At 43.0% G+C, this 14,163-nt stretch overlaps 1 annotated feature.

Moving 5' to 3' along the window:
- Positions 11,413-11,482: an enhancer, noted in NCBI's record as "active region_11769". NCBI's record gives its function as "activates an Ori minimal core promoter by ATAC-STARR-seq in GM12878 lymphoblastoid cells {active_cell/tissue: GM12878}" and the evidence as "EXISTENCE:reporter gene assay evidence [ECO:0000049][PMID:35858748]".

Consider the following 14,163-nt stretch of genomic DNA (forward strand, 5'->3'; position numbering starts at 1 on the left):
TGGGGGACACATTCAAACCATGGCAGGGTGTGACAGTCTTTGTGTCATATGTTAATGTTCACCAGAGAGGATCCACTACAGAAGAAGCATGAAACTACCAAGTAGACGAAAGACTTGTCCAGTTGTCATCATCCATTCTCTGCCATTAGCTACTCCAGTGCTGGCACAGTGCATGATAGAGTACCCATGGAAGCAGGCATGGAGGCTGTGCATGGGTGGATGTCCATATGCTCCCATTCTCCAAGGCTGATCTAACTATTGATGCTTTGAACACCCAACCTACTAGCAAGAGAACAATGCCAAATGCCTGGTGCAGTATAATCACTGGAGGAGCCCATCAAGCTCGGTAGCAAGTTAATTACATAGGCCACTTTCCACTCTGGAAGGATCAGAGATGGATCTTGACTGGAAAAGACACATGTTTGGGATTCAAGTTTATCTGTCCTATTTGCAAAATCTTGGAGAGCAGAACTCTCTAAGAGTTCCAACCCAGGGTTCCAGGTAGCATTCCTGTTATCTGGAGGGTTTCAAAAGTCCAGGAATGGAGATTCCTAAACAAGAGAAAGACCATGATTTGAGTTCCAGTTCTGCTACATGCTCCTCATATGTTCTCAAATGAATGATTTAACCACTGCCCCACCTCTGTTTTCTTCCCTTTTTTAATTTAAAATTTTTATTTTTAATTTGACAAATCATAATTGTATATATTTTATGGGGTACAAAATGATGCTTTGATATATGTATACATTGTGAAATGATTATATCAAGCTCATTAACATATACCTTATCTCACATATTTATCATTTTTTGTGTGTGGTGGAAATATTTAAAATATATTATTTTAACAACTTGAAATATATAAGATGTTATTATTGTCTATGGTCACTGTGTTGCACAACAGATCTTGTAAACTTATTTCTCCTGTCTAACTGAAACTTTGTACCCTTTAGTCAACATCTCCCCATTCTCCACACACCCCCACCACCAGCAACTGGAAGCCACCATTCTACTCTCTACTTCTATATGTTTGGCTTTTTTATATTCCACAAATAAGCAAGTTCATGCAGTATTTGTCTTTCTGTGCCTGCCTTATTTCACTTAATGTAATGTCCTCCAGGTTCATCCATGTCGTTGCAAAGGATATAATTTCCTTCTTTCAAATGGATGAATAGTATTCCATTGTGTATATATACCACTTTTTTTTTTTTTTTTTTTTTATGGAGTCTCACTCTGTCGCCAGGCTGAAGTGCAGTGGCATCATCTCAGCTCACTGCAACCTCCACCTCCCAGGTTCAAGCGATTCTTCTGTCTCAGCCTCCCAAGTAGCTGGGACTACAGGCGCATGCCACCATGCCCAGCTAATTTTTGTATTTTTAGTACAGATGGGGTTTCACCATGTTGGCCAGTATGGTCTCAATCTCTTCACCTTCTGATTCGCCCGCCTTGGCCTCCCAAAGTGGAGGGATTACAGGTGTGAGCGACCGCGCCTGGCCACCACATTTTCTTTATCCATTTATTTGTTGATGAACGCTAAGGTTGATTCCCTATCTTGGCTATAATGAATAATGCTTCAATGACCATGGGAATGCAGATATCTCTTCAACGTGCTAATTTCAATTCTTTTGTATGCATACCCAGAAATGAAATTGCTGGATCATATGCTAATTCTAGTTTTGGTTTTTTGAGGAACCTCCATACTGTTTTCTATAATGGCTGTACTAATTTACATTCCCACCAACAGTGTACAAGGGTTTCTTTTTCTTCACATCCTCACCAACATTTGCTATCTTTTGGCTTTTTGATCATCGCCATTCTAACAGGTATGAGATGATATCTCATTGTGAATTTAATTTGCATTTTCTTGATGATTAATGACATTGAGTATATTTTCCTAAATCTGTTGGTCATTGATGTATCTTCTTTTGAGAAATGTCTGTTCATGTCCTTTGCCCATTTTTAAGTTTTTTTTTTTCTTGCTATTGAGTTGTTTGAGTTACTTATACATTTTGGATACTAACCCCTTATCAGATGTATCGTTTGCAAATACTTTCTCCCACTCGGTGGGTTGTCTCTTCACTCTGTTAATTTTTTCCTTTGCTGTGCCGAGCTTTTTAGTTTGATGTAATCCAATTTGTCTGTTTTTGCTTTTGTTGTCTGTACTTTCTGGGTCATAGCCAAAAAAAAATCATTGCCAGGCCAATGTCATGGAACTTTTCTTCTATGTTTTCTTCTAGTAGCTTTACAGCTTTAGGTCTTACATTTAAGTCTTTAATCCACTTTGAGTTGATTTTTGATTATGGTATAAGATAAGGAGACCCCCATTTTCTAAACTGTAAATGAAGAGAGAAATATTGTCCATGCTGCCTAATCTCACAGGTGTCTTAGGAAGATCAAATGGGATTCTGAAATCAAGCAGTTATGTTTCAGAGAGTAACAGAGTTGTAAAACCATTGTTTTGCCACCATTACAGTAAAGACAGACCAGGCAATAATCATCTATGGATGGGAAACATTAGTGAGGTAGGAGGAAATTTTGTTGCAGAGCAGAATGTTTTCATGGGCTTAAAGTGTTTCTCCACAGACAGCTTATTAGTTACAGGGAGGGAAACAGTGATTAAATAACCTAGAAATCAGAGAAAACCTTGGTTGGTTGATCAAAATTGATATTAACAGTATGAGACTGTCTTTGTATTGTTATAAAGTAATTTATAAAGAAAAGAGATTTATTTGGCTCACAGTTCTGCAGGCTGTACAATAAGCGTGGTGCCAACATCTGCTTCTGGTGAGGACCTCAGGCTGATTTCACAAATGGCGGAGGGGAAAGGAAGCTAACATGTGCAGAGATCATATGGCCAGAGAGGAAGTGAGAGAGAGAGAGGAGGTGTCAGGCTCTCTTAAAAACCAGCTGTTGGCCGGGCGCGGTGGCTCACGCCTGTAATCCCAGCACTTTGGGAGGCCGAGGCGGGTGGATCACAAGGTCAGGAGATCGAGACCATCCTGGCTAAAACGGTGAAACCCCGTCTCTACTAAAAAATACAAAAAACTAGCCGGGCGTGGTGGCGGGCGCCTGTAGTCCCAGCTACTCGGGAGGCTGAGGCAGGAGAATGGCGTGAACCCGGGAGGTGGAGCTTGCAGTGAGCCAAGATCGCACCACTATACTCCAGCCTGGGCGACAGAGCGAGACTCTGTCTCAAACAAAACAAAACAAAACAAAACAAAACAAAACAAAACAAAACAAAACAAAACAAAACAAAAAAACCCCAGCTGTCATGAAAACTAATAAAGCCAGAACTCACTCCTCATCCCGTACTCAGGGAAGGGACTAATCGACACTTAAGGGCTCCACCTCCCTCTACTCCCCACCTCCAACACTGGGGATCAAATTTCAACATGACATTTGAAGGCATCAAATATCCACATCATAGCAGCTACAGACAGAAATTCTGTGCCTCCAAGTGTGAAACCTGAACAGGATACAAGGTTACCTGGTATTTAAACCAAGAGAGAATAACCTGAATCTAATCTTGACAAAACATTAGGTAACTGTGGAATGTGCTTTTAAAATACGGGGAGAAAAAGCAAGACTCTGTCTCAAAAAAAAAAGGGGGAGAATGAGGAAACTGTATACTAACAAAATGCAAGTATCAGACAGTAAATGGAAAAACTGAAAATATTCCAGACAAAAGGAGGCAAAGATACTTTGTAATTAAATGTCATAACTGCCTATAGGCTAGATCCTATAATTGAGGGGGTTAAAAAGGACATTTTGAGTCATTTGGAAAATTACAAAAGGGCAGTAGGATAGTTGAAAGTATCGTATCAAGATTAAAGTTATAGATGTTGATAACAGTACTGTGGTTATGTAAGAGAATATTTCAATTCTTAGGAAAACCGCTCAGATGTTATTATGTATTTAGGGGTAAACGGCCATAACATATGTAACTCAAATAATTCAGGGGAAAATATTATATGTGTATATATATGTGTGTGTGTGTGTGTGTGTGTGTGTATCACCTGAGAAAGGAGAGAGGAAGAGAGAGCAAGAACACAAGCGAGTGACAGCGCACAAACTATTAAGTGGCCACAAAAATGGAGAAAATATTAAAAATATGTGAATCTAGGTATGGAGTATATTGATGTTCTTTGTACTATTCTGATTCTTGCAAAGTCTACAGTGCATAATATCTTCATAATGCGTTCTTAGGTGCCTTAATTTTTTCGCTCTTTAAATTTTCCTGGGAAATAATTTCAATCTTATATTCAAAAAGGAAAAGTTAAGGAATGAAAACAGACCAGGCGTGGTGGCTCACGCCTGTAATCCTAACACTTTGGGAGGCTGAGGTGGGCAGATCACAAGATCAAGAGATCAAGACCATCCTGGCCAACATGGTGAAACCCCATCTCTACCAAAAATACAAAAATTAGCTGGGCGTGGTGGCACATGCCTGTAGTCCCAGCTAATTGGATGCTGAGGCAGGAAAATTGCTTGAACCCGGGAGGCGGAGGTTGCACGAGCCGAGATCGTGCCACTGCACTCCAGCCTAGCGACAGAGAGAGACTGTCTCAAAAAAAATAATAATAAAAATAAAGGAATGAAAACAAAAATAAACACTTAAAGATACATTAACAAGATACTGTATATGCAAATATTTTATTAAGGAAATTAGACAATTTTGAAAAACATTAAACATTCCTTAAGTAATGGACAGCAGAGCCTATATGGGAAAAATTTTGATGAGACCCTTAGTTCATAAAAACAACACAAAGGTGTGATAACGAAAATCCTCTCATGCTCACACAAAGGCTGTGAATAGAAGGTTTTAGGGTAGGACAGGGCAATGTTTCTCCAGTAAGAAGGATGTCATTCAGTCCCTTCACTCTGTAGTTCTTGTCTTCAGGGACTAGGTACGCTGTGAACTGAATACGTGTGTCCCTCTAAGTTCATATGTTGAAATCCTAAACCCCAATGTGATGATGTTAGAGAGGTGATTAGGTCTTGGGGAGGTGACAACCTTATGAATGGGATTAATGTTCTTATAGGAAGGGACAGGGGAGCCTTCTCTTTCTTTTTCCCTCCCTTCCTCTCTGCCATTGAAGATACAAGGAGAAAATGGCTGCCTGCAAATCAGGAAGAATATACTTACCTGACACCTGATCTGCTGGCACTTTGATCTTGGACTTCTCAGCCTCCAGATTGTGAGAAGTAAATGTTAATTGTCTAAGCTAGCCCGTCTTTGGTAATTTCCTAAAGCAGCCGGAGCTGGCTAGGACAATGTGCATGTACTCCAGGGGGGACTTCATATGATAAAATTGGATGGAGGCCCAAGAAGGGACAGATGTAGCCTTAGCCTAGCTCTTGAGAGCACCAGGGCTCAAGGCTACCTTCCAGAAGAAAAGCGAGATAACTGAGAGGTGAGGATACATGGGCTCAAAATATTCTCTAGCCTGTGCTGAGGTGTGAGGTCCCCAAAGTCATGAGACTGATTCAATAAATGCATTTTCTTCTATGTTATAGGTTGAGGGCATTAGTCTTGTTTATAGATGAGGAAATGGAGGCTCAGAGAGATGTCGTGACTTAGCCAAAGTCAGTGAGTAGAGGCAGAGTCAGGACCTGAACTCTGGGGGTCTACCGCCAAGGTAACCCTGTTTTTATGTTTTAGTTACTCATACTTGAAGCAAACATGGTGGTCTTGGAACCTGTTTCTCAGCTGGAACCTGTTTCTCAGCTGGCAATAATTTCTTCAGTTGGAAACGGAGGTAAATTAATAGAACTAATTAAAAGAAGGGTCCTGCCGGGCACAGTGGCTCACGCCTGTAATCCCAGCATTTTGGGAGGCCAAGGAAGGTGGATCACCTGAGGTCAGCAGTTCGAGACCAGCCTGGCCAACATGGTGAAACCCCGTTTCTACTAAAAATACAAAAATAAGCCGGGCGTGGCGGCGGGCGCCTGTAATCCCAGCTACTCGGGAGATGAGGCAGGAGAATCGCTTGAACCCGGGAAGCGGAGGTTGCGGTGAGCCGTGATCGCACCCATTGTACTCCAGCTGGGCAAAAAGAGAGAAACACTGTCTAAAAAAAAAAAAAAAAAAGGTCAGTGGAAATGCTAGATGCTTAGCATATTTTAAAATTCAAAGGGGCTCTGGAAAATTCCCGCTGTAACGGTGAAAAATGTAGAATGCAACCGGAAGCTGGTGTAGAAGCGGGGGTTCTCCAGTCCCCAGCAGAGGCAGGGCCTCACTTGTCCCATCTCAAGTCCTGTTCCTTCCCTGTGGCCTCCTAGGCTTCGCCTCCTGCCCTCCACTGCGGGAGTTAGAAGAAGGAAAGAAAGAATAAAGATTAAAGTGTAGATAAACGAAACAGACAATTGAAAAACAGTAGACAGATTTCATAAAATCAAAAGTTCTTTTTTTGAAAAGATAAAATTGACAAACATTTACCTAGACTGACCAAGAAAAAGAGGGAAGTTTCAAAATAACGAAATTAGAGTTGAGAGTGGGAACATTACTATAGGTGTTACAGAAAGAAAAGAGATCATAATAGAATACTGCGAACAATGTACGCCAGCAAATCAGCCCACATGAAAGGGACAGCGTCAATTTCAGAGAATTGGCGCCGGGAGGGGCACGGGATCACCGTGCACAGTGAGTGCTGTACAAAGTGCCTGTGCAGCTCCCCGAAGCCGCAGGAGGGCGCCCGACTAAGCCTTTTCTGCCCTGCGTGAGGCGCATGCGTGTTCCGTCTGCAGCTGCAGACGCCCATCCTGGGAGTGGACACCAGCTTCGTTCCCTCTCAGCCCACTCGGGAAGCGCCACACGGCTTCGGCTTCGGACGATCCAGGGCCGCGTCCTCTGTGAGGAAACAGCTGTGACGGCTGAGGAGGGAGGGACCAGCTCTAACTGATTGCTTAAGTTGTTACAGATGGTACAGAGCCAGTGGCTGAGTTTTGTAAATCAGGTGTGTTCATTGAGCGAACTTTCCACTTCGGAATATTCAGCATCTGAGGAGGTTCAGTTTGATTTTGTCTATCGCTGGCGGGGCGCGGGCTGACGCCTGGGACCCCTGCACCTGGGGAAGCCGAGGAAGATCGCTTGAGCCCAGGAGTTCCAGACAAGCCTGGGCAACACAGCGAGACCCCGTCTCTACAAAAAAGAAAGAAAAATGTGTCTATCTCCAACCCAATGGTGAAATTAGGATGTCTGTAATCTCCTCGTAACATCCCGGATTATACATTATTACTTTTTTTACATTTCTTTTTTGTTCATTTTCAAAATTGGAAAATACATTCACTTGTCTTGTAAAAGTTTGTCGTTAAACATACTTGCAAATTATGTTTTGCAAGAGAAAAAAACTTTTATTTTTGTTTTTCTTTGTTGTAAGCAAGGGCAATGCAGGTCTTCTTTTTTGTCAGAATTTTTTGTTGGAAAGCTTATTTAATTTTCCACTTGTTTCAAAATATTATCCCATATTGATGAGTTGCACAGAATTTTTTTTTTTTTTTTTTTTTTGAGACAAAAGTCTTACTCTGTCTCCCAGGCTGGAGTGCAGTGGCATGATCTCGGCTCACTGCAACCTCCACCTTCCGGGTTCAAGCAATTCTCCTGCCTCAGCCTCCTGAGTACCTGGGATTACAGGCGCCCGCCACCACGCCCAGCTAATTTTTGTATTTTTAGTAGAGACGGGGTTTCACCATGTTGGTCAGGCTGGTCTCGAACCCCTGACCTCGTGATCCACCCGCCTCTACCTCCCAAAGTGCTGGGATTACAGGTGTGAGCCACCACGCCCGGGCGAGTTGCATAGAAATTTCTAATCTATTTGCACGACAATGCTTTTGATTTTGGCCTAGTGTATCTCCTCATTCAATATGATATACATTGTATTATATATACATTAAAAAATATAAATATAAATGTATTACTTATATATGGGTATATGATCAGTGTTGTTAGTTTGGGCTGGAAGTGGTCCAACTGCAGTTGCTCTGCCTGTCAGTGCCACACAGATGGGAAAATCCCAGCTCATAATTCCTGAGCACTCTCTACCCTGTATGTCCCTGCCACAATCAAGTGAGTCCCTTCTGCCTCTATAGACACTAAAACATCCCCATAGAATCCCAGAGGGCAAGAGTCAGAGAGCGGACATGCACACTGTCCAAGCATCTCTTTGCCTGACTTCTGAAGAACACGTGTGGACAGACTCCAATTAGTACAAACACAGAAAATCACAGCTGACACTACAGCCGTCTTCTGGCGTTATGAGAGTGAACTGAAGCAGAGATTCCAGGGCAGCATGCCACTTATTTGGAAGAGGAAGTTGTGCAAGTAAGTGCACTTTTCCATGGAGTTTGACATGGGGCAAAAAAGGGCAGACAGTTTCAGGGTACTCAGTGGAGGAAGTGGTTTATGTAGAAAAGTGGAAATCAAACAACTCCATGTTTCCACAGCTGAGATGTCAGAGAAGCCTAGGAAAAGGCAAATTCCCCAAAAGAGGTCACGTTTCAATTGTGTTTTAGTCCCAAGAAAATGACTTAAAATTGTTTCCACAGCTGAGATGTCAGAGAAGCCTAGGAAAAGGCAAATTCCCCAAAAGAGGTCACGTTTCAATTGTGTTTTAGTCCCAAGAAAATGACTTAAAATACTCATTGGATTAAAATATCTGGGTAGTGCCAGGCATGGTAGCTCATGCCTGTAATCTCAGCACTTTGGGAGGTTGAAGTGGGTGGATCACTTGAGTTCGGGAGTTTGAGACCAGCCTGGCTGATATATTGAAACCTTGTCTCTACTAAAAATACAAAAATTAGCCGGGCATGGTGGCGGGCGCCTGTAGTCCCAGCTACTTGGGAGGCTGAGGCAGAAGAATCGCTTGAACGCAGGAGGCGAGGTTTCAGTGAGCTGAGATCCCGCCACCACACTCCAGCCTGGGTGACAAAGCAAGAGTCCATCTCAAAAACAAACAAACAAACAAAGACTAATTTGACCACGGCCTCCTTTTGAGATCATTCTTTTGCCAGACTCCTCTGACATCTCAGGCTGACTGTCTTCAAACCTAGTCCACGAACACTCCTTGCTGGTGTCCTGTGCAAAGCCCCCCTGAAGAGTATCAGGGAACATTCTGAGACCCAGTCCCCACCCGTGTGCCCCTTTCACTATAGCTGCCTTGGAAACCTCCTGCATGTCTTCACTTGCTGCAGCAATTTCTCCCATCATTATCTTGATGGTGATGACATCTGAAAGCTCAGTCTAGATTTCATTTGAGGCACAGTCTCTGCGTGTTATAGGCACTTAAGATGTAATACATTTCAAACTGAGGCCCTCAACTTCCTCCCCAAATAAAAGTGACTTGTCCTCTAATCTCTAATCTCAGATAATGGCTCCACTAGTACCCAGTCATGAATCTGACACGGCCTCTCAAAACCACTGTCAAGCATAGCTGTGATCTCTACACGGAGCTCCACAATCGCCATTCACTTCCACACCAATACCCAGACAGTATTCCCACCCCACACTCACACTGCTCAGTGCCAGTTTAAATGTCAGTTCCTCAGATGATACAATAGTTGGCATTTAAAAAACCAAACCAAACGATAATGTTTCAATGTCCAAAACTGATGAACACATTTTGCTTAGTTCTTTCCTAAATGTGGAAGTGGATCTGATATATAATTATTTTCTCCCTCTGCTTCCCAACATGTTCTAATACATAATTTTTAGCGATACCAGTCATAATGGGGGTCCCACAAAAGAAGTTTTTGTAAGCTGAAATTAATTGACAGCTATTTAAGACTGTCACTGTGTCATGAGGAATTGTTGGACATGTTCAAATGAAAATGAGATAAGCTAAGAAGTATATTTTTAAAATGTTATTGATATGTTTGCTTTCATTAAAGCCAGGAAGGCAAATGTATTAAAACTTTCCTTTGGTATAAACTATTTAAAGTTAAAATGATGTGAGTTTTTTTTTCATTTTTAAAATAGATCAGTTTTATTCTGCTAGTTCCATAAAAACAATGTAAACACAAGCGTTCTGTACATCTTGCTGGTGAATTCACATAATGCTTAGTTCCCTGATCCTTTGACCTCCTCGTCTTCTCCAGTTATTTTCTGTCTGGACCACTGGCCTCAGGAGTGGAGTGGGGTTGGGGCTTAGGAGAGAGCAATGTGGCTTTTTGGTATGACTTGTTTTATTGCTTGCCCTCTCAGCACACTCCTGTTTCTCCTAACACAAAGTCTGAGATTTAAGCCCTTAAACCTGTAGGTTTCACCGTCAGCTTTTTCTTTTTCTTTCTTTTTTCTTTTTTTTTTTGCATAGGCATTACTAGGGACGTGAATGGGAGACTGGTATAGAAAGTGGTGAGGAGCCGAAGCCAAGAAATTGCTTTAAACACAAGATGAAAATGCTCTGTTCTGTCCACACAAAGAATCACCTAATACTGGTGTGAGGCACCTCACTTAGCTGTGGAGAAGTCCCTGGAATTAGATCTCAGAAAGACAGTTCCAGCTTTAAGACAGTAAAACCTTTTGGCAATGGGCTAATTGCCTTAAAGGAAAGAAGGGTTCTACTTGAAAGAACTTGCAGGTGGAGAAATTGTCCTACAAAGATTCTTGGAAATGTTAATGGAGATAACTGACATAGGTAGCTGTGGGCCAACCAGGAGCTGTCAACAGCCTGATCTCAGCAAAACCAGGACGGCCAGTTAATAGTTCCTTCAGTTCTCTGATGGTCACAAATGTAATTTTATTTCATTTCGCCTTGTGGAGGTTCTGCAACAAATGTAATTTTAAAGGAATTGGGAGCCAGAAAGATAAATGCAACTCCTTCAACTATGTGACAGGGCAGACTGGTGAATCTGGGTTCCCAGAGTGTGGAGCAAGTGCCCTGCATCAGAGGACGGCCCAGGGGAAACGTGCATGATGCCGAACCCCACAGGACAGAATTACTTCAATCGCCTGGTCCTGACTACTACAAGGAGGAAGTCTCAGTGTCTCAGTTTGCATCTACGCTCAGATTTCTTTTTCTTTTGGAGACAGAGTCTCCCTCTGTCGCTCAGGCTGGAGTGCAGTGGTGTGATCTTGGCTCACTGCTACCTCCACCTCCTGGGTTCAAGCAATTGTGCCTCAGCCTCCCCTGTAGCTGGGACTACAGGCGTGCGCCACCACGCCCGGCTTATTTTTGAATTTATAGTAGAGACGGGGTTTCATCATGTTGGCCAGGAATGATGCGAGTTTTAATACACTCACTTTACAGTTTCTTATGTTTTTAAACTACTTTCACGTTGTAGCAAAAACGAACCTTAAAGGCTTCACAGAGGCCGGTCCACGGGAGGGGAGCGCCGGTCTCCCGGTCCCGCCGGGCTCACAGGGACGGAGCGGCCTGGGATTCCGCCCACCCCCTTCCCGCCGTCAGCGATTCCTCCTCCTCGGAGGGTCTGGGGACTTCTCCCAGAAGCCGCCACCTCGCGCCAGGACACCGGGAGTTCCGCCGCTCCCTGCGAGAGGGAACTGGCCAGAGGCCCTGCGGGGCACCGCGCGCGAGTGAGGCAGAAACCCAGGCACCATGCAGAAAGCCCCGAAAAATGTCCCTGGAGAAGCCGGGGAACAGCTCCCTCCACAGCCGTCAGGGCCCGCACAGGCTGTTTCCTCACGGAGGACTCGGCCCCAGGTTGTCACGAAGCCGCGACCGCGCCTCCCCGGGGTCCTCAAGGAACGCAGCGCTCTGCCTCACTGCAGACAAGGCAGTCCGCAGGCGGAACACGCATGCGCGCCGGCAAGTCAGCCAGGGCGGGTTCGCGCGCCCTCTTGCGGCCCTCTAGGTGCAGTGCAGGGAGCTTTGCGTTTTAGGGACTTGGGCTCCCTCCGGCCATCCTCTATTGCTTTTTGGTATTTTCAGTAGAGACGCGGTTTCGCCATGTTGGCCAGGCTGGTTTGGAAGTCCTGACCTCAGGTGATCCACCCGCCTCGGCCTCCCAAAGTGCTGGAATTACAGGCGTGAGCCACTATGCCTGGCCCTGGCCATCCTCTTTAACTACTGAACTTCAGATTATTCAAAGCCGTTACACTCCACCCAACAGCTTCAGAATATCCTCTAGTATTCTCTAACACGCATGGAACAGTCTCCAGATTAGACCACAAATTAGGTCACAAAGCTAGTCTCAATCAATTTTAAAAGACTGAAGTAATACAATATTTTCTATAACCACAATATAAGGAAACATTAACAGAAGGAAAACTGGAACATTCACAAATACGTGAGAATTAAACAACACACTCTTAAACAACCAATGGTCAAAGAAAAAATAACATGGGAAATTGGAAAATACGATGAGACAAATGAAAATGAAGCACAACATACCAAAACTATGACAATCAGTGAAAGCAGTTTCAAAGGGAAAATTTTACGAGTAAACATTTACCTTTAAAAAACAAAGATATCAGATAAATAACCTAACTTTACACCTTAAGGAGCTGGATAAAGAAGAGAAAACAAAACCCAAAGTTAGGAGAAGGAAGATGCTATAGTTTAAATGTGTCCTCCAATGTCCATGTGTTGGAAACTTAATCTCCAATGTAACAGGGGTAAGAGGTAAGACTTTTAAGAGGTGATTAGGCCATGAGGACTCTGTCCTCATGAGTGGATTAATGCCATTATTAAGGGAGTGTGTTCCTTTCAAAAGGACAAGTTCAGCACTCTCTTGCTCTCTCTTCCCTTTTCTTGGCCCTTCTGCTTTCTCCCATGGGATAACATAGCAAGAAGGCCCTCACAAGATGCTGGCACCTTGATCTTGGACTTCCCAGCCTCCAGAACTGTAAGAAAATAAATTTCTGATTTTTGAAAAATAAATTATGTGGCCTGTGGTATTTTGTTGTAGAAGCACAAATGGACTAAGACAGAAGGAAATAATAAAGATTAGAGCATAGTTAAACAAAATAGAGGATAGAAAAATAGGGAAAAAATCAACAAAACCCAAAGTTGGTCCTTTGAAAAGGTCAAGAAAATTGACAAAACTTCAGGTAGAGTAAGAAGAGAAAGATTATTAAAACACTGTTATTTTATTATTTTTCCTAATTATTTAACAATATTTAACAGTAATATAATAAAATTATTGCAATATGAAAATTTATATAAAACTAAAACATTAAATCAGAAATAAAAGTGGGGACGTGACTATTGATTTTGAAGAAATACACAGAATTATAAGAGAATATTAAATCAATTGTATCCCAACAAAGTAGGTAATCTAGATGAAATGGATACATTTTGAGACAGAGTCTCACACTGTCATCAGGCTGGAGTGCAGTGGCACGATCTTGGCTCACTGCAACCTCTGCCTCTGCCTCCCGGGTTCAAGCGTTTCTCCTGCCTCAGCCTCCTGAGTAGTTGGGACAACAGGCGTGCACCACCACTCCCAGCTAATTTTTGTATTTCTAGTAGAGACGGGGTTTCACCATGTTGGCCAGGATGGTCTCAATCTCTTGACCTCATGATCCACCCTCCTCGGCCTCCCAAGGATAAATTCTTAGAAGCACTCAGACTTCCAAAACAGATTGAAGAAGAAATGGAGAATCTAAGGATATCTTTTTTTTTTTTTTTTTTTTGAGACAGAGTCTCACTCTGTCACCCAGGCTTGAGTGCAGTGGCACGATCTTGGCTCACTGCAATCTTGGCCTCTCAGGTTCAAGCAATTCTCCTGCCTCAGCCTCCTGAGTAGCTGAAATTACAGGTGTGTGCCACCACACCTGGCTAATTTTTGTATTTTTAGTAGAGATGGGGTTTCACCATGTTGGTCAGACTGGTCTTGAACTCCTGACCTCGTGATCCGCCCGCCTCGGCCTCCCAAAGTCGTGGGATTACAGGCGTGAGCCACTGCGCCCGGCCAGGATATCTTTTTAAATAAATAGAATGAATCAGAAACCTTTTAACAACAAAAAGGGCCAGGGCCAAATGGCTTCACTGGCAATTTCTACAAAACATTTGCAGAAGAATTAACACCAATCCATCTCAAACTCTAACCATCTGTCCTACACCCCAAAATAGAAGATAACCGATCCTAACCCTTTCTATGAGGACAGCATTACCCTAGTATTTGTGAAAAAGACTTCATAAGAAGAGAAAACCAATACAATGTTTTCTCAGTACAAACCAATATCTTTTATGCATACAGATAGAAAAA

Source organism: Homo sapiens, chromosome 17 (assembly GCF_000001405.40).
Source record: "Homo sapiens chromosome 17, GRCh38.p14 Primary Assembly".
Taxonomy (NCBI): Eukaryota; Metazoa; Chordata; class Mammalia; order Primates; family Hominidae; genus Homo; species Homo sapiens.